Raw genomic sequence first — 22,043 nt, forward strand, 5'->3', positions numbered from 1 at the left:
TGCTTTGGTAAAGAAAAGGGTAGCTTTCCGGAAAGGCTTTCAATCATGAAGCTTATCTGTTTTTTCCCTGTCCTCAATCCAGGCCTTCCACACGGCAGAACTCTAAAGGCCACCACTCACGCTGTACTGTTCAAAGTCAACATTTCTGGGGGTTTTCTCTGTGAATGGAATTACAGTTTTTTGGGTTTCTGATATAATTGAGAGACACTTTTCCCTTAAGTTCTTTTTTTTTCCCCCCCTTAAGTTCTATGTCTGCTTCACTGGTCTTCAAATACAGTCATGGATAGTTTCATGACAGGGATACGTTCTGAGAAACATGTCATCATTAGGTGATTTTTTCGTTGTACCAACATCATAGGGTGTGCTTACACAAACCTAGATGGTGTCGCCTACCACAAACCTAGGCTATATGGTCTGTATCCTATGGCTCCTAGGCTACAAACCTGTATAGCATGTTACTATACTGAATACTGTAGGTAATTGTTAACACAGTGGTGCCTATTTGTATATCTGAACATATCTAAACATAGAAAAGGTATTGTGTTGTGCTACAGTGTTACAATGGCCAGATCTCATGAGGCAATAGGAATTTTTCAGCTGCCCCCATTATAAATCTTACAGGACTACTCTCCTTCCTATATGTGGTCTGTCGTTGACCAAAATGTCATCATGTGGTGCATGACTGTATTTTAAGCCTCTTTAGAAATATGTTTTTAGTTATTAGAAAGTTAATGAAATATTTCCTGGTATTTAAATTTTCTGTTCTTTTAGCGACTTAGTTCATACAACTGAGAGCCTTCGGCAATCAAAATTATCTGCTGTGAAAGCTGAAAAAGAAAGTGCCAATTTTGATTTTGTTTTGGAACCCTATAAACTTGAAAATGCAAGATTGAGTAGAGAAAATAATGAATTATACCTAGAGTTAATGAAACTGAGAGAACATTCAGACCAACACGTTAAAGGTAAGTGAAAATTTGATAATTTTTAAAATGCAATGTCTTTGTCCTTTTTATTTTAGAAGGAAAAGCTAACGTCTAATTTTAAAACTATTGATTAGAAAATATAGTAGTCCTACAGCTGGATGGTGTGTGCCTATAGTCCCAGCTACTCGGGAGTTTAAGGTGGGAGGATTGCTTGAGCCCAGGAGTTTGAGACCAGCCTAGGCAACATAGTGAGAACTTGTTTCAAAAAAAAAGAAAAGAAAAGAAAATATGGTACTCCTTCTGCTAATAGCCCCTGAAATACTATAGGGTATGTTGAAGAGTTCCTGAGAAGGAAAATAAATGTGCATTATATAGCTATGATAATCACTATATGTGGATTAAATTTTTAGAATTAAAAATTTAATTAAAATTTTAGAATTAAAATTGCCATAGGGAATATTAAATGCTGGATTTGAAGAAATGTTCTTGAAACAACTTTTGTTTTTCCCTTACTGAAAATAAAAGTAGTAAATAAGGTGAAAACCATGTATCATGCTGACTGTTTTATAGTCAGTCTTTGAGCTGTCAAGTAGAATAGGATGATTTCAAAGGTACTAGGGAAAAGATAATTATATGGTTATCTTTGTATGAATTATTCTTATATTCAGTAGAAAACTTTATCTAATCCATGGTATGAATTCATAATCCTTTAGCTTCAGACCCAATTTACTGGATCAAAAGCTATGATGTACGTTAGGCTAATACAGTAGCTGAAAAATGAAGATTCTCTTTTGTGCTTAGTGAGTTATTTGCAGTTTTGTTAATAATAGTAGAAGAAGGAATAAGTGTCAACTAAAGCATGCATAAGAAGCAGGTGGAGACTTTTAAATTGATATGACTTTTTGTATTTTGTGAAATGGAAAAACTTCATTGGATTTCTTGATCTTTAAAACGGTCTTTGAATCTTTTTCATTTTAAGAGTTGAAAACTTCATTGAAGAAATGTGCACGTGAAACAGCTGATCTGAAATTTCTGAATAACCAATATGCTCATAAACTCAAACTGTTGGAGAAAGAGAGCAAAGCTAAGAATGAAAGAATTCAACAACTTCAAGAAAAGAATTTGCATGCTGTAGTACAAACTCCAGGTAAATCGATTCCTTCTCGAGACAAATTATACACATTTAATCTTTTAACGATATTAACACCATTGACTAAAATAGGACTTTGGATTGGATTTTCATGCTTAGACTTTAGTGTTTGAAAATATATATTGAATAGACCGTAAACTTCTTGATTTATTTCTAATGATCCGGGTAGTAATTTATACGTGTGCTTAGAAATGTATGTAGTATTAGTTACTTAGATACTAGTCTAACTTTAATGCCCAGAGCTTTCTCTAATCAATATTTTAAATTCTTTTTTCTATTATTATTATCATTATTATTTTAGTTGTAAAAGTAATCCATACTCATTAAAGAATTTGGAAATTATGTACTTTCTTAGTTTATTTTACTATTTTTAGCATTATGCTTAGTAGTTATAGAGCAAGAAAAGGAAATGATGGGTCCAGGTGCAGTGGCTCACACCTGTAATCCCACCACTTTGGGAGGCTGAAGTGGGCAGATCATTTGAGGCCGCTTCAAGACCTGTGTGGGAACGTGATGAAACCCCACCTCTACCAAAAATACAAAAATTAGCTGGGCATGGTGGCGCAAGCCTATAGTTCCAGCTACTTGGGAGGCTGAGGTGGGAGGATTGCTTGAGCCTGGGAGGCGGAGGTTGCAGTGAGCTGAGATTGCACCACTGCACTCCAGCTTGGGTGATAGAGTGAGACCCTGTCTCAAAAAAAAAAAAAGAAATGATGGGCCACATCCAGAGTTGGTGATTGTTCAGCAGGTATGGGTTGGTGGTAGAATCTACAATATTAGTGACAAAATCATTAAGATAGCTGAACCATGGGATCAAGATTATGAAATTAAGTGAGTAACAGGGGGCTGCTGGATTATGAGGCTAGGTCAAGACAGATTAAAGAGCATGATGAGTACCAAAAGTAATTTGTTTGCTATGAAGATTGCAGTCAGAGTGGAATTTTGGAGTTGAAGAACTAGAAGCCAGCAGAGTTCTGAGTGATGACAAAGGCCAAAGTGTATCATCTTATTGTGTGCCTGAAGTTGAGGGGAGAGGAGACTCCTGAGAGTGGACAGATTAGAACTGTGAAGCCAGGTGGGGGAAGACTCAGTGGAGCGTGAGATAGTTTAGTAAATGAGATAGATGGACATGGGGACTGTGAGCAAAAGGCAGAAGAGATAGAGAAAAGTGGGAGTCAACCTTGAAAGTAACTAGAAGATTAAGGCAAAAAAGAGGATAATCAGGTTTCCTGAGGAAAGAATGGGATAGACTCCGGAGAGATTCAAGATGTATAATCAAGATAGTGAGTAAATGTAGATTTGGGAAGCAGAGGAATTCTCAGACTTCTCTTTCGAGTGAATGAGTTAGGTGGAGGGTGATACTATTTCTTAAGTTAGAGAATGTGGGAAGCAGAGCAGGAGTCCACTTTTGGATGTGTGGAGTATGCTATACCCACAAGACATTCATGTCTAAATTTTTGGCAAACAGTGGGATATGTAGATCTGTTCTCAAAAGTGTGGGCCCTGGTGGAGATGCAAATTTAAGAGTCATTGGAGTCTCATGGTAATTGAAGCTATGGGTGTAGTAAGAATTATCTAGTGAGATTATGTAGACTGGGAAGAGAGGAGACCCAGAGTCAGATGTGAGGGAAATTGGTATTTAAGGGACAGGTGGAAGAAGACAGTTTCTGAAAGAAACTGAGGAGCCACCAAGGAGGAAAACCAGGAGGTAAAGAAAGAAGGAATGGTTAGCTTTGTTCAGGTGTGTGAACAAACAGGTCATTTAAATACTTTTGGCCCAGTTTTCTTATCCTTAAAACTCCTTTTGTATACTCCTACCTCTGTAGGAGTATACAAAATTTGTTAGAATTCTAATGAGACAAAATTGTGGATTATGTTTGTTCTTCACAAGGATCTGCTGGTTTTTCAAATACACTTCTAATCTTGGCAAAATCCTTAAAGAGATAAATTGTCCATGTATTTTTGACCAAGACAAGATATATCTAGCCATAAGAAAATTTAGTCCTACTACTTGTAGAGGTTAAGAAAACATTCCCTCCTAATTCAGATTATAGCATGACTTTATATTATAGATGACATTCCATTCATTCTAACTTTGCTACTTACAATTTCAGTTATCTTTTATGTTGATATTAGCTAATAACCACGCATATTTTAGTTCTCACTGCCAGTTTTCTGCTAGTGATAATTTCTTGAGCTCATAATAGTGAACACCACAGGCACATTCAGCTTTTTTTTTTTGAGATGGAGTTTCACTCTTGTTGCCCAGGTTAGAGTGCAGTGGCGCAATCTTGGCCCACCACAACCTCGGCCTCCCGGGTTCAAGAGATTCTCCTGCCTCAGCCTCCCAAGTAGCTGGGATTACAGGTGCCCGTTACCACGCCCAGCTAATTTTTTTGTATTTTTAGTAGAGACGGGGTTTCACCATGTTGGCCAGGCTTGGTCTCGAACTCCCAACCTCAGGTGATCCACCCGCCTCGGCCTTCCAAAGTGCTGGGATTATAGGTGTGAGCCGCCATACCTGGCCGCATTCAGCTTTTAAACTTGCCAAAGTCTTATCCCCATCTAGTGGGCAAACATATTAAGCCTGGGCATATATGCCAAGCTTGCAGGCATATAAAACTTGTTTGATAACCATGTCTTGTTGAGGTTTTTAGGAATGCATTGTTTAGTTAAAGATCAGGGTGGATATTTATATATTGATGGAGAAAATATTTTGTCAATATGTATTATGAACTGCAGACACACTTTATAACCGAAAGGCTAACCTGGAATATTTAATTCTAAGACATGGTTTTGTTTCTTCTTAGTTTTTTAAGACACTCATTCTTTTTAGGTGGCAAGAAAAGAAGTATTGCTTTCAGGCGCCAGCGTATGCAAATTGATGAACCGGTTCCTCCCTCTGAAGTCAGTTCATATCCAGTTCCTCAACCAGATGACCCTTACATTGCAGACCTCCTTCAAGTGGCTGATAACAGGTGCATTAAATAATTCTTTCTTGGCTTGAGTTAATTGAGCACTCAATTAGCTGTAAGTTTCTTGATAGGAGGGCTTTTTTTCTTGTTAACTGTTGTGTCTCCAGTGTCTAGCACAGAACTTTGCACCGGCACTCAGTAAATACTTCCAGATTGATATAAAATGTTTTTACTTGTTTTGAAACTTTGATCAAATGGATCATATATCTAAGGTTTCTGTTCATACTGGCTTAAAAATTATTGCCATCAAGAACCTGTTTAAGTAGAGCTGCTTTGACATTTTGTGTTGTCTCCAAATAAGAGGTATCTTTTGCAAGAATCTTTATTGCTTCAGATTTGTGTCAAATGTCAGTTAAATATGAAGAGATGTGTAACTGGATTTGAAATTCCTTTTTTAATGGTTTCTCTAGCTCTGTGTTTATATTTCCTTACATTTGAATCATATATAAATTCCATTTGATTGAAATGTTATTAAACCTCCTGGGCAAGGCACTGTGTAAGTGTTCTGAGGATATAAAGATGAAGAAGATGGTGTTTCTGTTTTTGAGAAGCTTGTAGTCCAGTACTAGAGATGAGATGAGAAATTCACAAAACACCATTAAGAAAATTATAAGAGGCTCAAAGGAATGGATGAGCACTAGTCTCCACGGTGATAGCTGGAGAAGCATTTCAAACTGTAGAATACACTAATGGAAATAGTTCATGCAGGTAGCTTTTTATTTTGTAGATTATACAGAGAATGTGGGGGGTTTTATTAATCTCAATAGATAAAGCTAAAAAAGAGCACTGGGACCAGGTGCAGTGGATCACGCCTGTTAATCCCAGCACTTTGGGAGGCCAAGGCAGGAGGATCGCTTGAACCCATGAATTCAAGACCAGCCTGGTCAATATAGTGAGACCTTTTCTCTACAAAAAATTTAAAAATTAGCCGAGCATGGTGGCATGCACCTGTAGTCCCAGCTACTTAGGAGGCTGAGGTAGGCAGATCGCTTGAACCTGGGAGGCAGAGGTTGCAATGAGCTGAGATTGAACCACTGCACTTCAGCCTGGGACACAGAGCAAGACCCTTTGAGCTACTGATTAGGATCTCTTCACTCAGTTGTCACATAATATTTTTATATAGTTGTTTGACCTTAACTGGGAAGTGTTTTGTTCTTATTATCTAGGGCTTTTCAGATAATGTGTTTGTATTATTTAGGGAATTATTTGGGCTGCATAAGTGACATTAGTCTTTTTTAATTGTCCTGTTTAATTTATATATGCACATTTTGTTTGTATTCAGAGTCATTCATGCATTTATATGAGTGCAGTTGCATACATACTCTTCTCCTAAACCTAGATTAGTAGAAAATGTTGGTTCCAGTTAACATCAGGTACAAGCCGTATCCAGCCTCATTTACTCCACCCCATGGAAAATCTCTTTTAAAAACAAACCTGGGGCTGGAAGCACTGTGGTTCACGCCTGTAATCCCAGCACTTTGGTAGGCCGAGGCAGGAGGATTGCTTAAAGCCCAGGAGTTCAAGACCAGCTTCGACAATGTGGAAAAACTCTCTCTCTACAAAAAATTTAAAAATTACCCAAGTGTGGTGGCATGTGCCTGTGGTCCCAGGTACTTGGGAGGCTGAGGTGAGAGGATTGATGGAGCTGTGGAGGTTGAGGCAGCAGTGAGCTGTGATCGGGCCACAGGATTCTAGCCCGGGTAACATAGGAAGGCCCTGTCTCAAAAAAGAAAAAAAAGCAGACCTGGCTTCAGGCTTTGTCTTTCCAATATGAAAATGGATTAATTATGTCATAATGTACCTGAACAATTCAGGTAATTTGGACAAAATCTTGATTCTGTTGGAATTAACAAGTTCCAGAAGGAATAGGTTTTTTGCTGTAGTTACATATGATCTTTTTTCCAGGGTTTCAAAGTAGTAGTAGACAATACAGGGTTAGGGTCAGAAAACACATTTTAGTTTCTTATTTCACTTACTAAGTCTGTGAATTGTGGAGTAAACCTCAGTTTTCTAAACCTAAGAATTGGCAGCAGTACCTCAAAGAATTTTCCTGGGGATCAAAATGCAATAGTGAGGTGTTTCTTGCACAGTGTATCTGAGTTTCAAATTATTTACTACTCAGTTTTAAATCTTGTTACAAACCAACTCTCCATGATGTTGTACTATATTTTATATTGATTTGGGGACCCTTTGGCACAGTACGTCCTACCTGTTTGAGAAGCTGAAAGTATAGAATTTATGAAATAACACATCTAGCTTCGTTTCTTATTTTGTATTTCTTAACAAAAGTGTATTGGCATTAATTTAAAGTGCTTTTCAGGATTCAAGAACTTCAACAGGAAGTCCACCAGCTACAAGAAAAGTTAGCAATGATGGAAAGTGGGGTGAGAGACTATAGCAAGCAGGTAGGATTTTTATTTACTTGCATAGTAGGGATTGAGATAGGTATGCTGTGATTGTAAATAGAATTGGGTTATATTTGAAATTGCTGATACTGAGTTTTTATACAGCTTTCCTCTTTTTCATCAGGTTTGTTAATAGAGTTAATAGCTGGAATGGCTTAGGTGGCTTTACTTACTTAGCCTGTCTCTTCAAAAAATTTAAAAATTAGCCAAGTGTGGTGGCATGTGCCTATGGTCCCAGGTACTTGGGAGGCTGAGGTGGGAGGATTAATGGATTGAAGAGCACTTATTTACTCGATTCTCTTCACTATTCATTGAGGTGAATAGTAGTTTTTTGTTTGGTTTTTCTTTTAGCTGAATCATCTATCTCCCCAAATATAATTTTATAACCATATTACCGTTTTCATCTCAGGAGACATTTTATTAAGTGTGCTATGTTTTATAATTGTATTTTTGTGATTTTTCTACTCTTATTATATATTTTGTCATATTGAACACCAGTCTCTTAGAAAGTTACTCTTTTGTGTTGCTAATTTTTTTGTTTGTTTTCTCTATAAGCACAAGTCCTCATACAACAGTTTTCTGAAGAATCAGGAGAATTAGTAGATGCAGAGTTATATTATAACCATAGCAAGCTTTGTCTTTTCATAATTTCTATTGATGTCTTGGCTAAATTTTGATTTGGGTAATTATAGGCTTGTTTTCTTAATATGCTTCTTGAAGGTTAAATTGGGTAACATGTTTTTCATTTTCTGCATTGACTGCATTTTTTTTGAGTGATCTGCACACACAAATATAGATGTAACTTAGGTGTTGGTATAACTAAATCTTTAAAGTGTTTTGAAGATTAGTTGGATAAAAATGGAGTTAAAGAAAATTGACCAGGCGTGGTGGCTCATGCCTGTAATCGCAGCACTTTGGGAGGCCGAGGCGGGTGGATCACTTGAGATCAGAAGTTTGAGACCATCCTGGCCAACATGGTGAAACCTCATCTCTACTAAAAATACAAAAAATTAGCCGGGCGTAGTGGCGGGCGCCTGTAGTCCCAGCTACTTGGGAGGCTGAGGCAGGAGAATGGCGTGAACCCGGGAGGCGGAGCTTGCAGTGAGCCGAGATCCCGCCACTGCACTCCAGCCTGGGCGACAGAGCGAGACTCCGTCTCAAAAAAAAAAAAAAAAAAAAAAAATACAAAAATTAGCTGAGGTTGTGGTGTGTGCCTGTAATCCCAGCTACTCAGCAGGCTAAGGCAGGAGAATCTCTTGAACCTGGGAGGCGGAGGTTACAGTGACCCGAGATTGCACCACTGCACTCCAGCCTGGGTGACAGAGACTCTGTCTCAAAAAAAAAAAAAAAAAAAGGAAATCATAATGTCAACCCCAAAAACCTTACTTCATGAAGAGATGTTGAAAATATCCAATATGCACATGAGTTTAATATTACTGGCATTTTTCATTTTATAATTACACTTTCATTTTTTTCAGGTACTTTATGAACATAAACTTCTTACCATCTCTGTGAGGTGGCTGAGGTGTTTGGAGAAAACAGCTTGACTACTCTGATTAAAGCCACCAATTTATTGTGGTTTGCAATCTTAGTTGAGCTTACTCTGCTGCCTATCAGTTATTTGTCTTTTTTTGCTGGAGTTTATTCTTTCTCAGCACATATTCCAGATTTTGCTGTTTTTAAGCTGTTTTCCCAATTTATATAATACCCATCTTTGGCCGGGCACGGTGGCTCACACCTGTAATCCCAGCACTTGGGAAGGCTGAGGCGAGCAGATCACCTGAGGTCTGGAGTTGGCGACCAGCCTGACCAACATGGAGAAACCCTATCTCTACTAAAAATACAAAATTAGCCGGGTGTGGTGGCGCATTCCTGTAATCCCAGCTACTTGGGAGGCTGAGGCAGGAGAATTGCTTGAACCCGGGAGGCAGAGGTTGTGGTGAGCCAAGATCACACCATTGCACTCCAGCCTGGGCAACAAGAGCGAAAACTCTGTCTAAAAAAAAAAAAAAAAAAAAAAAAAAAAAAATCCATCTTCTGAGAATGTCACCTTGTCTCAACTTTCTATCTCTACCTTTAAAATTAGCCATATTTGTACTCAGGCTATCTTAAGACTTGGTGGGCAGGGTATTGTTCTTCCTGTTTAAGGCTGAGTTGCCTGTGCTCTTGACCCCATTTCCTCTTTTTTCCTTAGGACCTTACTTTAATCAATTATTCTTTTTTTCTTTAACAAGTACTTATATAACCACTTTACAATGATTAATTAATTTAATCTTCATAACAATCCTGTGAAGACGTACTTCTATTGTCATAGCTAACATCCTTTTTAAAAAACTCTTATTTTTTTTTTTGAGACGGAGTCTCCCTCTGTCGCCCATGCTGAAGTGCAGTGGCGCGATCTCGGCTCACTGCAAGCTCTTCCTCCTGGATTCATGCCATTCTCCTGCCTTGGCCTCCTGAGTAGCTGGGACTACAGGCACCCACCACCACACCCGGCTAATTGTTTGTATTTTTTAGTAGAGACAGGGTTTAACTGTGTTAGCCAGGATGGTATCGATCTCCTGACCTTGTGATCCTCTCACCTCGGCCTCCCAAAGTGCTGGAATTACAGGCGTGAGCCACTATGCCCGGCCAAAAAACTCTTTTAACTACCTCCCCCTCTTGAGGATTCCTTCTCCCTCTCTATGCAGACTTCTCCAAAGACTGTCTTACTTGATATCTCCATTTCTGTCTCTGCTTCTCCACCTCCTGCTCACTCCTTAACCTATTGTAGTCTGTCTTCTGCACTCACTATGTGAACTGGTCTAGTTAATTACATTAGTAACATTAATTGCTAGATCCAAAAGGATACTTACAGTCTTTGTTTTCTTGACCTACTCTGTGGTATTTGATATTATTGATAATTGCTCTTTGAAACTTCTTCCATGACTTCATTTTTTTCCAGTTTTCTTTTTTTTAAGCCTCTTTTTTTTTTTTTTGCTTTTTTTCAACTGTCCACTCCCTGAAATATTACTGTTTTCTTGGATTCTGTCTTTGACCCCTTCTCGTCTTATGTATCTTTTTCAAGTGTCCTCATCTGCTCTCTTGGTTTAAAATACTGCCTGTATATTGATGACTCCTTCATCTCTCTGTGGCTCAAACTTCTCTGCTGAACTCCAGACCCATATACCCACCTTTACATTGGGCATTTCCACTTGGGTGGAGTCTTTTTGTACTCATATGCCTTGTACTGAACTTTTTCTCTTCTGGTTTCGACTCCTTTATTCTCTACTTTGGTTGGTAGCATCAATGTTTGCCCAAGTGCACATTCTGTATTCTTTCTAGATCTCTTTCTCTTGCCTTCGCATACCACTCACCAAGTTCTGTCATTTCTCCTGGCTAAGTGCTTCTTAAACTTATTTCTTCTGTTCTATCCTCTACCACTGTTTTATTTTAGTTATTAATTGTTTCTTATGCATTTCTGCATTAGGTCTCCCTGCCCCTGCCTCTGTTTTTATTCCTGTCAATTTCATCCTTTAGTCCAGCATAATCGTAATTAGTTTTGTCCTAGTTCTTCAGACATCTCCAACTACTAGATCCCATGCACATTACATCCAGTCATACCAAGCTATTTCTGCTGTCTCAAACATTCCATGTTTTTGTTGCTTTTTGGTATGTTTGGAATGTTTGGTTATTTATTTAAGAAAACCAAAGCTTGGGCCAGGAGTGGTGGCTCACGCCTATAATCCCAGCACTTTGGGAGGCCGAGGCAGGCGGATCACCTGAGGTCAGGAGTTCAAGACCAGCCTGGCCAACATGGTAAAACCCCATCTCTACTAAAAATACAAAAATTAGCCAGGCGTGGTGGCACATACCTGTAGTCCCAGCTACTCAGGAGGCTGAGGCAGGAGAATTGCTCAAACCCGGGAGGCAGAGGTTGCAGTGACCCGAGATCATGCCACTGCACTCCAGACTGGGTGACAGAGTGAAACTCCGTCTCAAAAAGAAAAAGAAAAAGCCAAAGCTTGAAAGTGTGAGCCTTTCCAAATTCTTACATAAATAACAGATAATTAAATTCACCCCAGTTTCCTATTCTTTTTAATATTGAGGTTCAGTAGCAACTTACTTTTCTTAGTGTGTTACACTCATTCATTTATTCTACCAGGAACTGAAGTAGTTGAGATTCAGTTCTAGTACTTGAGCATGTATGTAATCTGCTAGCAAGTTTCTTTTTATATAAACATTGTTAAATCTTAAAGGAGGGAAAAAAATACAAAAATTAAATTAGGAAGAATCTATGTAGTAAAAATACATATGAAAGATATAGTGACAGCATGTCTGTTGACATTTTCTATGTAATTTATTTTTGTTCTGCATTTATGCATATAATATATGGACACAAATATGAATGTTAATCTCTTGCATACATTGGTACATAAGAAAATATATCCAAATAAATGTTTGTACAGTGTTAATCATTTGGTTGAAAACCAGATTTTTTAAAATGACAGCATGACTATATCTTCAGATTGAGCTAAGAGAACGAGAGATAGAACGACTGTCAGTTGCTTTGGATGGTGGTCGGTCCCCTGATGTCCTTTCTCTGGAGTCTAGAAATAAAACCAATGAAAAGCTTATTGCTCATTTAAATATTCAGGTAATGGCTTTTATAATTATTTCACTGAGTGTATATAATGGTGTTTATAATAAACACTATATGTTTATAATGGTCTATGGGTTTGTAAAAGTGGCAGGAGTTGTTCACTGAGGTATTATTTGCAATGGGAAAAATTTGATAGAACCATAGTATCCAGAAATAGGGTGGAGTTATTGAAAAATCATGTTTTCAAAGACTAATGAGGCAGTAATTAACATGCACCATAACATTAACAATTTAAAGGAAGAGAATAAACTCTGGGCACATGATTGCCAATTTGCTTTTAAGAAAATGTATATATGGACTTGGAAAGAGAAAACGAAGAGAATATACCAAAGTATACTAACAAAGCTTATCTTTCTGTGGTGGGATATTCTCCTTTATGGTTTTCTCTTTTTCTTTTTTAAAATTTTTATGAGTATATATTTATTTTATAATGTAAAAATTTAAAAATATATATAAAAATTAAATACCTAGCTTTTATCTACTTACGTAGTGGATTCCTTTGCCATGCATTTGACCTAAGGCTGAAAGAGCAGGAGAGTTCCATGCAGTATGACACAGGAACTTTAGAAATTTTGGTATGACAGAGTTGCCTGGGCTACAAACAGAATATAGTAAGTAAAAAATATCAACAGTAGCTCTAGAGGAGTGCTGTCCCATAGAAATATGATATGAGCCATATATGTAATTTAAATTTTTCTAGTAGCAGCTTGATTTAAAAAAATAAAAAGAGGTGAAATTAATTGTAACAATATATTTACCCCAGTATGTCCAAAATATTATAATTTCAACCAGTAATGTTTTTACATACCTATTTTTTTGTTTGTATTATCTTTGAAATCCTGTGTATATTTTACAGTTATAGCACATCTCAGTTTACACTAGCCACATTTCAGATGCTCAGTAGCCACATGTGGTTGCTAGAGGCTACTATATTGAACAACACAGTCTATTATCATCTTGATATTCTTGTTGTATAGAACTCTGTATTGGGAAAAAGTTCACACAAATTTCTTGTCCTTTCTATGCTTGAAAATCAAAGTCAATGGATATGTACTTTCATTACACTGCACATGGTCAGTTTTGTAAATAACAATATAAATTTGCAAATATAAAATAGCTGTAGTTTTAATCTTCAATAATTTTTAAAATATAGTTTTTTGAAGTATTATTTGGAAAGTCAGTGTTTAGGATAATTTTCCAATTCATATACCTCATAAATTACAACTCCAATTTAGGTTGACTTTCTTCAGCAAGCTAATAAAGACCTGGAGAAGCGTATACGAGAGCTTATGGAAACCAAGGAAACAGTGACATCTGAAGTCGTTAATTTAAGTAACAAAAATGAAAAACTCTGCCAAGAATTAACTGAAATAGATCAGTTAGCACAGCAGTTGGAAAGACATAAAGAAGAAGTGCTTGAGACTGCTGATAAAGAGCTTGGGGAAGCAAAGGTAATGAATGATATGTGTAGATTGTGAGAGTGTTCATTAATTCTCCTAGCACACGGTAAGCTTGATCCCTTTTGATATCTGCATTCAGGTTTTTGGTTTATTTTGTGTGTCTGTTTTTGTTTTTTTGCTTTGGTAATTCAGGGTTTTCTGAAGTGTTGTTTACACCCTGTAAATGATTGTAGTTGTTTTAGTTGTTTGAGTGTCTCTCTGAAGCACACCTATTCTTAGGATGGATCTCCAAACTCTAGTCTGTTTTCCTTCACGATTTTTATCTCTGCCCCTTTATCTATGCATTGTGAGAGAGCTTTTAAAGTTTCCCCTCTATGTCATTTTTGCTCAAGAATCCTTTTTTTTTGAGACAGAATCTCTGTCTCCCAGGCTGGAGTGCAATGGTGTGATCTCGGCTCACTGCAACCCCCGTCTCCCCAGTTCAAGTGATTCTCCTGCCTCAGCCTCCAAGTAGCTGGAATTACAGGTGCCCGCCACCATGCCCAGCTAATTTTTGTACTTTTAGTAGAGATGGGGTCTCACCATGTGGGCCAGCCTGGTCTCGAACTCCTGACCTCAGGTGATCCATCCACCTCAGCCTCCCAAAATGCTGGGATTACAGGCGTGAGCCACCACGCTCGGCTTGTGTTTTTTGAGACATGGTCTTGCTCTGTTGCCCAGGCTGGAGTGTGGTGGGACAATCATAGCTCACTGCAGCCTCAACCTCCTCAGGCTCAAGCAATCCTCCCATCTCAGCCTCCTGAGTAGCTGGGACTACAGGTGCATGCCACAAGGCCCAGCTAATTTTTTGATTTTTTGCAGAGATGGGATCTCACTATGTTGCCCAGGCTGGTCTCAAACTCCTGGGTTAAGCAATCCTCCTGCCTCAGCTTCCCTAAGTGCTCAGATTACAGGCATGAGCAGCCATGCCTGGCCACCAAGAATTCTTTAAAAGTGTTTTTAAAACTGTGTATGTCCTTGCACATTTTTAAGTTGGTAATTATAATAACATTTTTCATCTTTTAAGTTTAAATGGAAAGGGTGATATTTCCAGTCTATTTTAAATATAATATCTTAAAATAAAACTATTTCATTGTTCTTTTAATTATAGCCAGTAAAATCTAAATGATCCTTTCTCCTTGAAATTTCCATAGAATTTTATCTTATTTCAACTAGTTTTATGCTTGAAAATCTTTTCATGATCATACTATCATACATCTGTACAATAAAAAGAATAAATTTAAAAAGAGTGAATTTTTTTTTATTTAAAAAAAATTCTGACAGCCTGATGGGAAAAAAAGAAATTTTTTATTTTTAAAAATTTCCTGTAACTGTAAGGTTCAAGGTGTTAATATTTTTATCTGAATAGTGTCATCATTACAATTATTAATTATCAGTGGGTTAAAGTGACAAATACACCACAAATGTTGATATTTATGAAATAAAAAAGTAAAATTTTATTGGAAATACATCTCTTAATGAATTATAATGGGAGAAAATAGTGTCTTATTTAAAGCCTTTGGCCAGCCCCAACATTTCAGATTATCTTTTGATCTGGTACTCTAAAAGTTTTTTATATCTTGAGACAGTGCACTATTGGGGTATGAATGATATACATGCCCTTCTTTGAACATTGAGAGAAAGGCATTTATAAAAGGGAGGGTAGGAATGCAGAACTCACATGATAGCCAGGCCACAAACAAATTATTAGGTAGATCATTTTTAAGAAGCACTGAATATGCAGATTAAGGATTCAGATGCTGATTCCTTAGAACTATGTGCATACCATAGTTTTATGTAATACTTGGAAAGTGTTCAATTTATCCCAGGAGTAAGTATAATCCAGTTTGAAGACCACTGCTGTATATCACCGAATTGATTTTATATAGTGCCACCTCTACTAATTAGTGGAATAGAAGGAAATTACCTCAATATTTTAAAAACCATGTGTGAAAGGCCCACAACAAACAATCATACTCAGTGGTGAAAAACTGGAAGTTTTTCCTCTAAGATGAAGAACAAGGAAGGATTCCCACTCTTGTCACTGCTGCTCAACATAGTACTGGAAGTCCTAGCCAGAGCAGTTAGGCAAGAAAAGGCATACAAATTGCAAAGAAAGAATAAAATTATCTCTGTTTACAGATGGCATAATTTTATATGTAGAAAGCCTTCAACATTCCGCAGAAACCAGAACTAATAAACTAATTCAGCAAAATTGCAGGATACAAAATCAGCACACAAAAATCAGATGTTTTTCTATACACTAAGAATAAACTATCCAAAAAGGAAATTAAGAAAGTAATCCCATCTGCAATAGCATCAAAAGGAATAAAATACTTAGAAATAAACTTAACCAATGAGATGAAAAACCCTTACACTTGAAAAACTATACAGCATTGCTAAAGAAGTTAAAGAAGACACAAATAAATGGAAAGACATTCCGTGTCCGTGGATTGGAAGACCCAATATTGTTAAAGTGTCCATACAACTCAAATTCAGCGCATTCCCTATCAAAATCCCAGTGGTGTTTTTTTTTTTTTTTTGCAAAAATAGAAGAAACTTCTAAAATGCATATGGAATCTCCAAGGACCCCAGACCACCAACACAATCTTGAAAAAGGATATAATGAGTACAGTTTTAATTCTGTTTTTGTGGTTTTAGTTTCATTACAACACTCCTATATCTCATCCCTCTCTTTTTCCACCACCTTTTGCATCTTCTATCCTTGTGCACACAGCATGCTAAACACAGCTTCCCATGTCCCATTGCAAATGCTCAGAAATGACAAGTTGGCTCAACAAAATGTTCCTATTGGGTCATAATATTTTGATCTTGGCATTCTGTTCTCTCAGTTGCAGTATAGAGAGGATCCAGGTTGGTAAAAGCAGGTATGGAGAAAGCAAATAGGATAGGAAAATCAGGAAATGACAGTGCCATAGAATTACCCCAAAATTTAAGGCCCAAGGAAGATCCTACAAGATGCTCAAGTGGCCTTCTTCAGATGTTACAAGTAGGCTCCTGTAAACATTCGGGATACCAAAAGATTAAAGAGAAGCCTCAATTTTGCCTCTTCGTTGAAATTGATAGGGATAAAGCCTCAGATCTCACTGGTAAGAGGGAACGTGAAGTAATTGCAAAATTACTTGATCTATTTGCATATGACTTAAGTATTCTTAGACTTTTAAGTATATACCTAATAGGCTTTTTATTCCTAGAAAGAGATTAAAAGAAAGCTCTCTGAAATGCAGGATCTTGAAGAAACAATGGCAAAACTTCAGCTGGTAAGTTGATGTCATGTTGAATTGCCAGCATTTTCAGTAAGAAAATTTTTATGGGAGACTGAGGTGGGTTTATCACCTGAGGTCAGGAGTTCGAGACCATCCAGCCACATCAACATGGCGAAACCCCGTCTCTACTAAAAATACAAAAATTAGCTGGGAGTGGTGGCGCATGCCTGTAATCCCTGCTACTTGGGAGGCTGAGGCAGGAGAATTGCTTGAACCTGGGAGGCAGAGGTTGCAGTGAGCCGAGGTCACACCATTGCACTCCAGCCTGGGCAACAAGAGCGAAACTCCATCTTTAAAAAAAAAAAAAAAAAAAAGAAAAGAAAATTTGTATGCTTTGTTTTATTGCTCAGCTCCTGACAACCACTAATCTACTTTCTGTTTCTGTAGATTTATCTATTCTGGCCATTCCATATAAAGGGAATCATATATTTTGTGTCTGGATTCTTTTACTAAGCATAATATTTACAAGGTTCATGCATGTGGTAGCATTTATGAGTACTTCATTCCTTCTTATGGCTGAGTAATATTCCACTGCATGGACATGCAAGTTTATATTTTTATAATTCCTTAATTTTATGTATAGTAGGTAGCTGCTAGAAATTTTACATTCTTTTAACTACTTTATGATTTGTTAGTTGACTAATATTAAAACCAGGAGTTAATTACTTGAAATATTTGTTGATTAACTTGAAATATTTGTTGATTATTACAAAAGGCACTCCATCCTCTTTTATTTATTTATTTATTTATTTTTTGGAGACAGGGGCTTGCCTTGTCACCTAGACTGGAGTGTAATGGCATGATCATAGCTCCCTGCAGCCTTGAACCCCTGGTGCTCAAGTGATCCTCCCACCTCAGCCTTCTGTGTGGTTAAGACTGCAGGCATGTGCCACCGTGCCTAGCTTTTTTTTTTTTTTAGTAGAAATGAGGTCTTACTATGTTACCCAGGATGGTCTCAAACTCCTGGACTCAAGTGATTCTCCCGCCCCGGCCTCCTAAAGTGCTAGGACTACAGGCATGAGCCACTGTGCCCAGCCCAGTCCTCTTTTAATAGCTTTGTTTGGTAATACAAACCATTTTCCTAGTCACATTTCTTGTTCTGGTAGTCTTCAAATAACAAAGGAAGTAATCATCCCAACAGAAGCCTAAATGTAGCATACAGAAAAAGCATATAGTCCTATAGTCTGCAACTAGCAGAAAGAGTGTCTTGCTTATAAGGTAGAAACTGGGTAGTCACCCAAATGATTGAGGATTTTAAAAAAATAACCTGTTGAATTGGAAGAGTTTTCTCTAAGATTGGAAATAAAGGTAAATACTAATTTCCAAGTTCTTTCATTATGTATACTTTTTATACAGTCTAGCTGCAGTGTCCTGGTGGCATAAGTCAATTAAAAAGGAAGCATGAGAGCAAGGGATTTTTGCTGTTTGTTCACTGCTAGTTGTATGTGCACTAAATGTTGGATGTGATTCATAATACTTGTCTCAGAACTGTGACCAAGTTTTAGTAGTGTTGGCTTACAGTAAGATGTTGCCGTAGTTACTTTCTTACCTTTCTTATTTTTTCTAGTAATGCAAAATTCTATGTATTTTTGAGATAAGAATGATAATATTGATAGCTAACATTTTTTAAGTACTTACCGTGGTGGACATGTTGGATACCATGGAAAGTACTTCATAACCATAGATTCATCCTCGCCAGTAAATCCTTAGTGTCCTGGTCTTATTATCCTTGTTGTGCATATGAGGCTGAGAGAATAACCAGTATAGTTATAGATACACTGTGTGTGGTGATCTTAGAAGAATTTATCTTACTACTGCTCTCTTAAACATGAAAAAGCTTTAAATTTTTTAATCATATAAGTATATATTCATTTAGAAAAAAATAAGACAATATGCTAAACTAACTAGAAGAAAATAATTCTCCCACCCTCAAAGAAGCATTGTTGATATTTGTGTTTTCAGCCACAAATGATAATTAAGTTTAATTGAAACCTTATATTTGACTAATTAAGTATATGTACACACACGTATATGTAAATTGCTGTTATATAAATGTGCTTATAAAAATCTATCTTAAGTGCGATAATATTTTATAAAGTTGTTAGAAATCTTAATTATAGTATTAAAATTTGCAGGAATTGAACTTATGCCAGAAAGAAAAGGAGAGACTGAGTGATGAACTCCTTGTAAAATCAGACCTAGAAACTGTTGTTCATCAGCTTGAACAAGAAAAGCAAAGACTTAGCAAAAAAGTTGAAAGTTTTGCAGTTACAGGTAAGATGTCAAATTTTGATAGCTAAAGAATGATTGTGATTTCCTCTTGATGTATTGTTTTTCTTAGTAGATATTCATTCATTCATTCATTCAATAAATATTTGTTGAGTGCTTACCATTAGTCAAAAACCATAGTAGTTACTGTAGATACAGTAGAAATCTCTCCCTCAAGGACCTTAGAATTTTTATGTTTTGGCTAGTTTATACAGGGAGCCCTGCTTGAATATTTTGCAATAGAAATGTGTCCTTCTTTGAGACAGACTAATAATAGAATTAAGTAAGACTAAAGGGAAGGCTATTTTGATAGTGGAAAATTGAAGTACAGAATCTTTTCAAGGAAATGCAGTTATATTATCTTAAAATACACACACATAAACACACACACAAATTGAAATAGGCTAACTTTCTACAGGTACCAGTTCTAAATGACTTGGCATCAGGAACATATAAGAATTCATTCGGCTGGGCGCGGTGGCTCACACCTGTAATCCTAGCACTTTGGGAGGCTGAAACAGGCGGATCATCTGAGGTTGGGAGTTCAAGATCAGCCTGGCTAACATGGTGAAACCCCGTCTCCACTAAAAATACAAAATTAACTGGGCGTGGTGGCATGCGACTGTAATCCCAGCTACTCAGGAGGCTGAGGCAAGAGAATCGTTTTAACTTGGGAGGTGGAGGTTGCAGTGAGCCTGAATCGTGCCACTGCACTCCAGCCTGGGTGACAGAATGAGATTCCATCTCCAAAAAAAAAAAGAATTTATTCATTCATTAATTTGACCGATGTTTATGAATCACCTCCTGTGTGGGTGTGTGCCAGGCCCTGTTTTTGAGTGCTGGGGTGTATAGTGGCAAACAAAATACATAAGGGCCCTGCTCTTGCAGAGCCTTTTTTCTTGCTAGGGAAACAAACTAATGGCACATAAATTAAGAAGTTAATTTTAGTTGATAAGAGGTATTAAATTAGAATGGGAGGATGTGCTAGAGATTGAATGAAGTGCTCAATGACAATACACCAGCAATATGAAAATCTGGGGTCTAGTTTTCTACGCAGAGGAAATGGCACGTGCAGAAACTTGGTACCATCAAACTCTGTGTGTCTTAGGAAGTGAAAGAAAGCCAGTTACTGTATTAAGAAGAGTCTCTTTCCTAGGCCCATGTGGATAATCTGTTTGAACTCCTCTCTACTTATTAGCATGTAACTTGAGCATGTTACTTAAGCTCTCTGTGCCTCAGTTCCCTATCTGTGGGGCTAATGATGACACCTACCCTGAAAAGTTGTTGTGATAATTAAATGAGTTAATATGTTGAAGTGCTTAGAACCATGTATAAAAGTTTAAAACAGGCTGGGTGCGGTGGCTCACGCCTGTAATCCCAGCACTTTGGGAGGCCGAGGCAGGCGGATCACCTGAGGTCGGGAGTTCAAGACCAGCCTGACCCACATGGAGAAACCCCATCTCTACTAAGAAAACAAAAACTAGCTGGGCGTGGTGGTGGGTGCCTGTAATCCCAGCTACTCAGGAGGCTGAGGCAGGAGAATCGCTTGAACCCGGAGGCGGAGGTTGCAGTGAGCCGAGATCGCACCCTTGTACTCCAGCCTGGGCAAAAATAGTGAAACTGTGTGAAAAAAAAAAAGTTTATTTTTCTTTTTGATAGCTATGTGTGGCCTATCATTTCAGTGTAATCTTTCAACTGTCTCAAACTCTCTTGTTTCCCTGTGTTTTGGGTGCATCCCCCTGCCAGATACCCAGCCATGGATGAGCCAAACAGTTTACCTTCTCCACTTTTATACATGGTCAGCTGTTTGAGTGTGCACCAGGCACATTGAGAGCACTGTAAATTAGATGGTCCTGAACCTCAGCAGACTGCTCAGCGCTGTATGGAAATCTTACACTGTTCTCTTAGCGTTTGATCTTCCATTCTCCACGGGGGATATTTAAAATGTTTTGCACTGTCAATAAACCCGTGAGTCCCATTTCCCACCTTCATTCTGAGTGGATGATCCTACCTCCAGTTTTCCTAAAAGAAGGGAAGCTATGGCAGGGATTCACTCAGTCTTCTGGCCTCAGATTAAAAACGTGTGCATCTTGTTCCTTCCTGTTCAATGCAGGAATGCCCCTCTTATAAAGGGCCGGTGGCTCCATGTATTCTCTGGGCCCTAACTTCTCTAATTTTAAAAACCTTACAAATTAATGATCTCCTCTCCATAGTTTTAATCTTTGTACTGTTTTTTCCCGTTGGCATTCACATGCTTACTCTCACCCATTCCAATACAAAAACTTTGACCCATTCCTATGCAGCCACTCGTTTCTTCTCTTCATAGCATCAGCGTCTTGAAAGGTCAGCCATACTTGCTGTTCTGCTTGATCACCCACTACCCCTTAGCTCCTCAGTCCACTCCAGTTGGCTTCTGTTGCCATCTCTTCAACAAAACTGCTCTTGTTAAAGTCATTCACCTCTGTTATGCTGAATGCAGTGGCTGCTTTTCATTCATTTGCTTATTTGACTGCATTTAATCCAGTTGCCCATTCTTTCCCACTCTCCTACTTTGTTCTTACCTCTCTGGTCAATCCTTCTTGGGACAAATTTGCCAGTTCATCCTCTAGTTTGCATTGCACACTGTCCTTTTGTAGCTTTTATCCTACTACAATTAGAATAGTTGTGCAGCCTTGGCTATGCTTTTTATACTGTATCCTTAGCTGGTGCTGGGCATGTAGTAAATGCTTAATACATATCTGTTGAATGAATGAAAGAAGAGATGAGAATAAATCAGAATACATCAGGAAAATCATTCCATGCCTCAGAGTTGTAATGAACATAAATTAAATTAGGTTCAACTATATGAAATTGCCAGTATTTGATTACTTTTGACTCATGAAGAGGCAATTTCTATGGTAAAAGCTAATAATTATGTTTGAGTTATTTTGCTCTCTTTGTATATGTGTATACTG

At 37.7% G+C, this 22,043-nt stretch overlaps 1 protein-coding gene and 1 long non-coding RNA gene across 6 annotated transcripts in view; one reads left to right on the forward strand and one right to left on the reverse strand.

Moving 5' to 3' along the window:
- CEP135 (centrosomal protein 135) overlaps positions 1 to 22,043 on the forward strand; it is an 84,417-nt gene that overhangs the window by 3,369 nt on the left and 59,005 nt on the right. The window contains exons 3-10 of one of the 4 annotated variants that reach the window (NM_025009.5): positions 772 to 962; positions 1,903 to 2,070; positions 4,910 to 5,051; positions 7,369 to 7,453; positions 11,961 to 12,089; positions 13,331 to 13,546; positions 16,750 to 16,815; positions 18,957 to 19,095. In NM_025009.5, coding sequence (NP_079285.2) covers positions 772 to 962; positions 1,903 to 2,070; positions 4,910 to 5,051; positions 7,369 to 7,453; positions 11,961 to 12,089; positions 13,331 to 13,546; positions 16,750 to 16,815; positions 18,957 to 19,095 — 1,136 coding nt within the window. Of the gene's footprint in view, positions 1 to 771; positions 963 to 1,902; positions 2,071 to 4,909; positions 5,052 to 7,368; positions 7,454 to 11,960; positions 12,090 to 13,330; positions 13,547 to 16,749; positions 16,816 to 18,956; positions 19,096 to 22,043 lie in introns of those variants that run through there. The other 3 variants (XM_006714055.4, XM_005265788.5, XM_011534412.2) reach the window with 3 other exon arrangements.
- Positions 78 to 21,827, reverse strand: LOC124900705 (uncharacterized). Of its 2 annotated transcripts, none has more exons than XR_007058124.1 (3): positions 21,651 to 21,739; positions 18,460 to 18,567; positions 78 to 158 (listed from the first exon to the last, which is right to left on the reverse strand). It is a non-coding gene; the product is annotated as an uncharacterized LOC124900705 (long non-coding RNA). The 2 variants fall into 2 exon arrangements; XR_007058125.1 differs by lacking the exon at positions 78 to 158 and adding an exon at positions 12,582 to 12,690 and having other exon boundaries at positions 21,651 to 21,827.

This window comes from Homo sapiens, chromosome 4 (genome assembly GCF_000001405.40).
Source record: "Homo sapiens chromosome 4, GRCh38.p14 Primary Assembly".
NCBI lineage: Eukaryota > Metazoa > Chordata > Mammalia > Primates > Hominidae > Homo > Homo sapiens.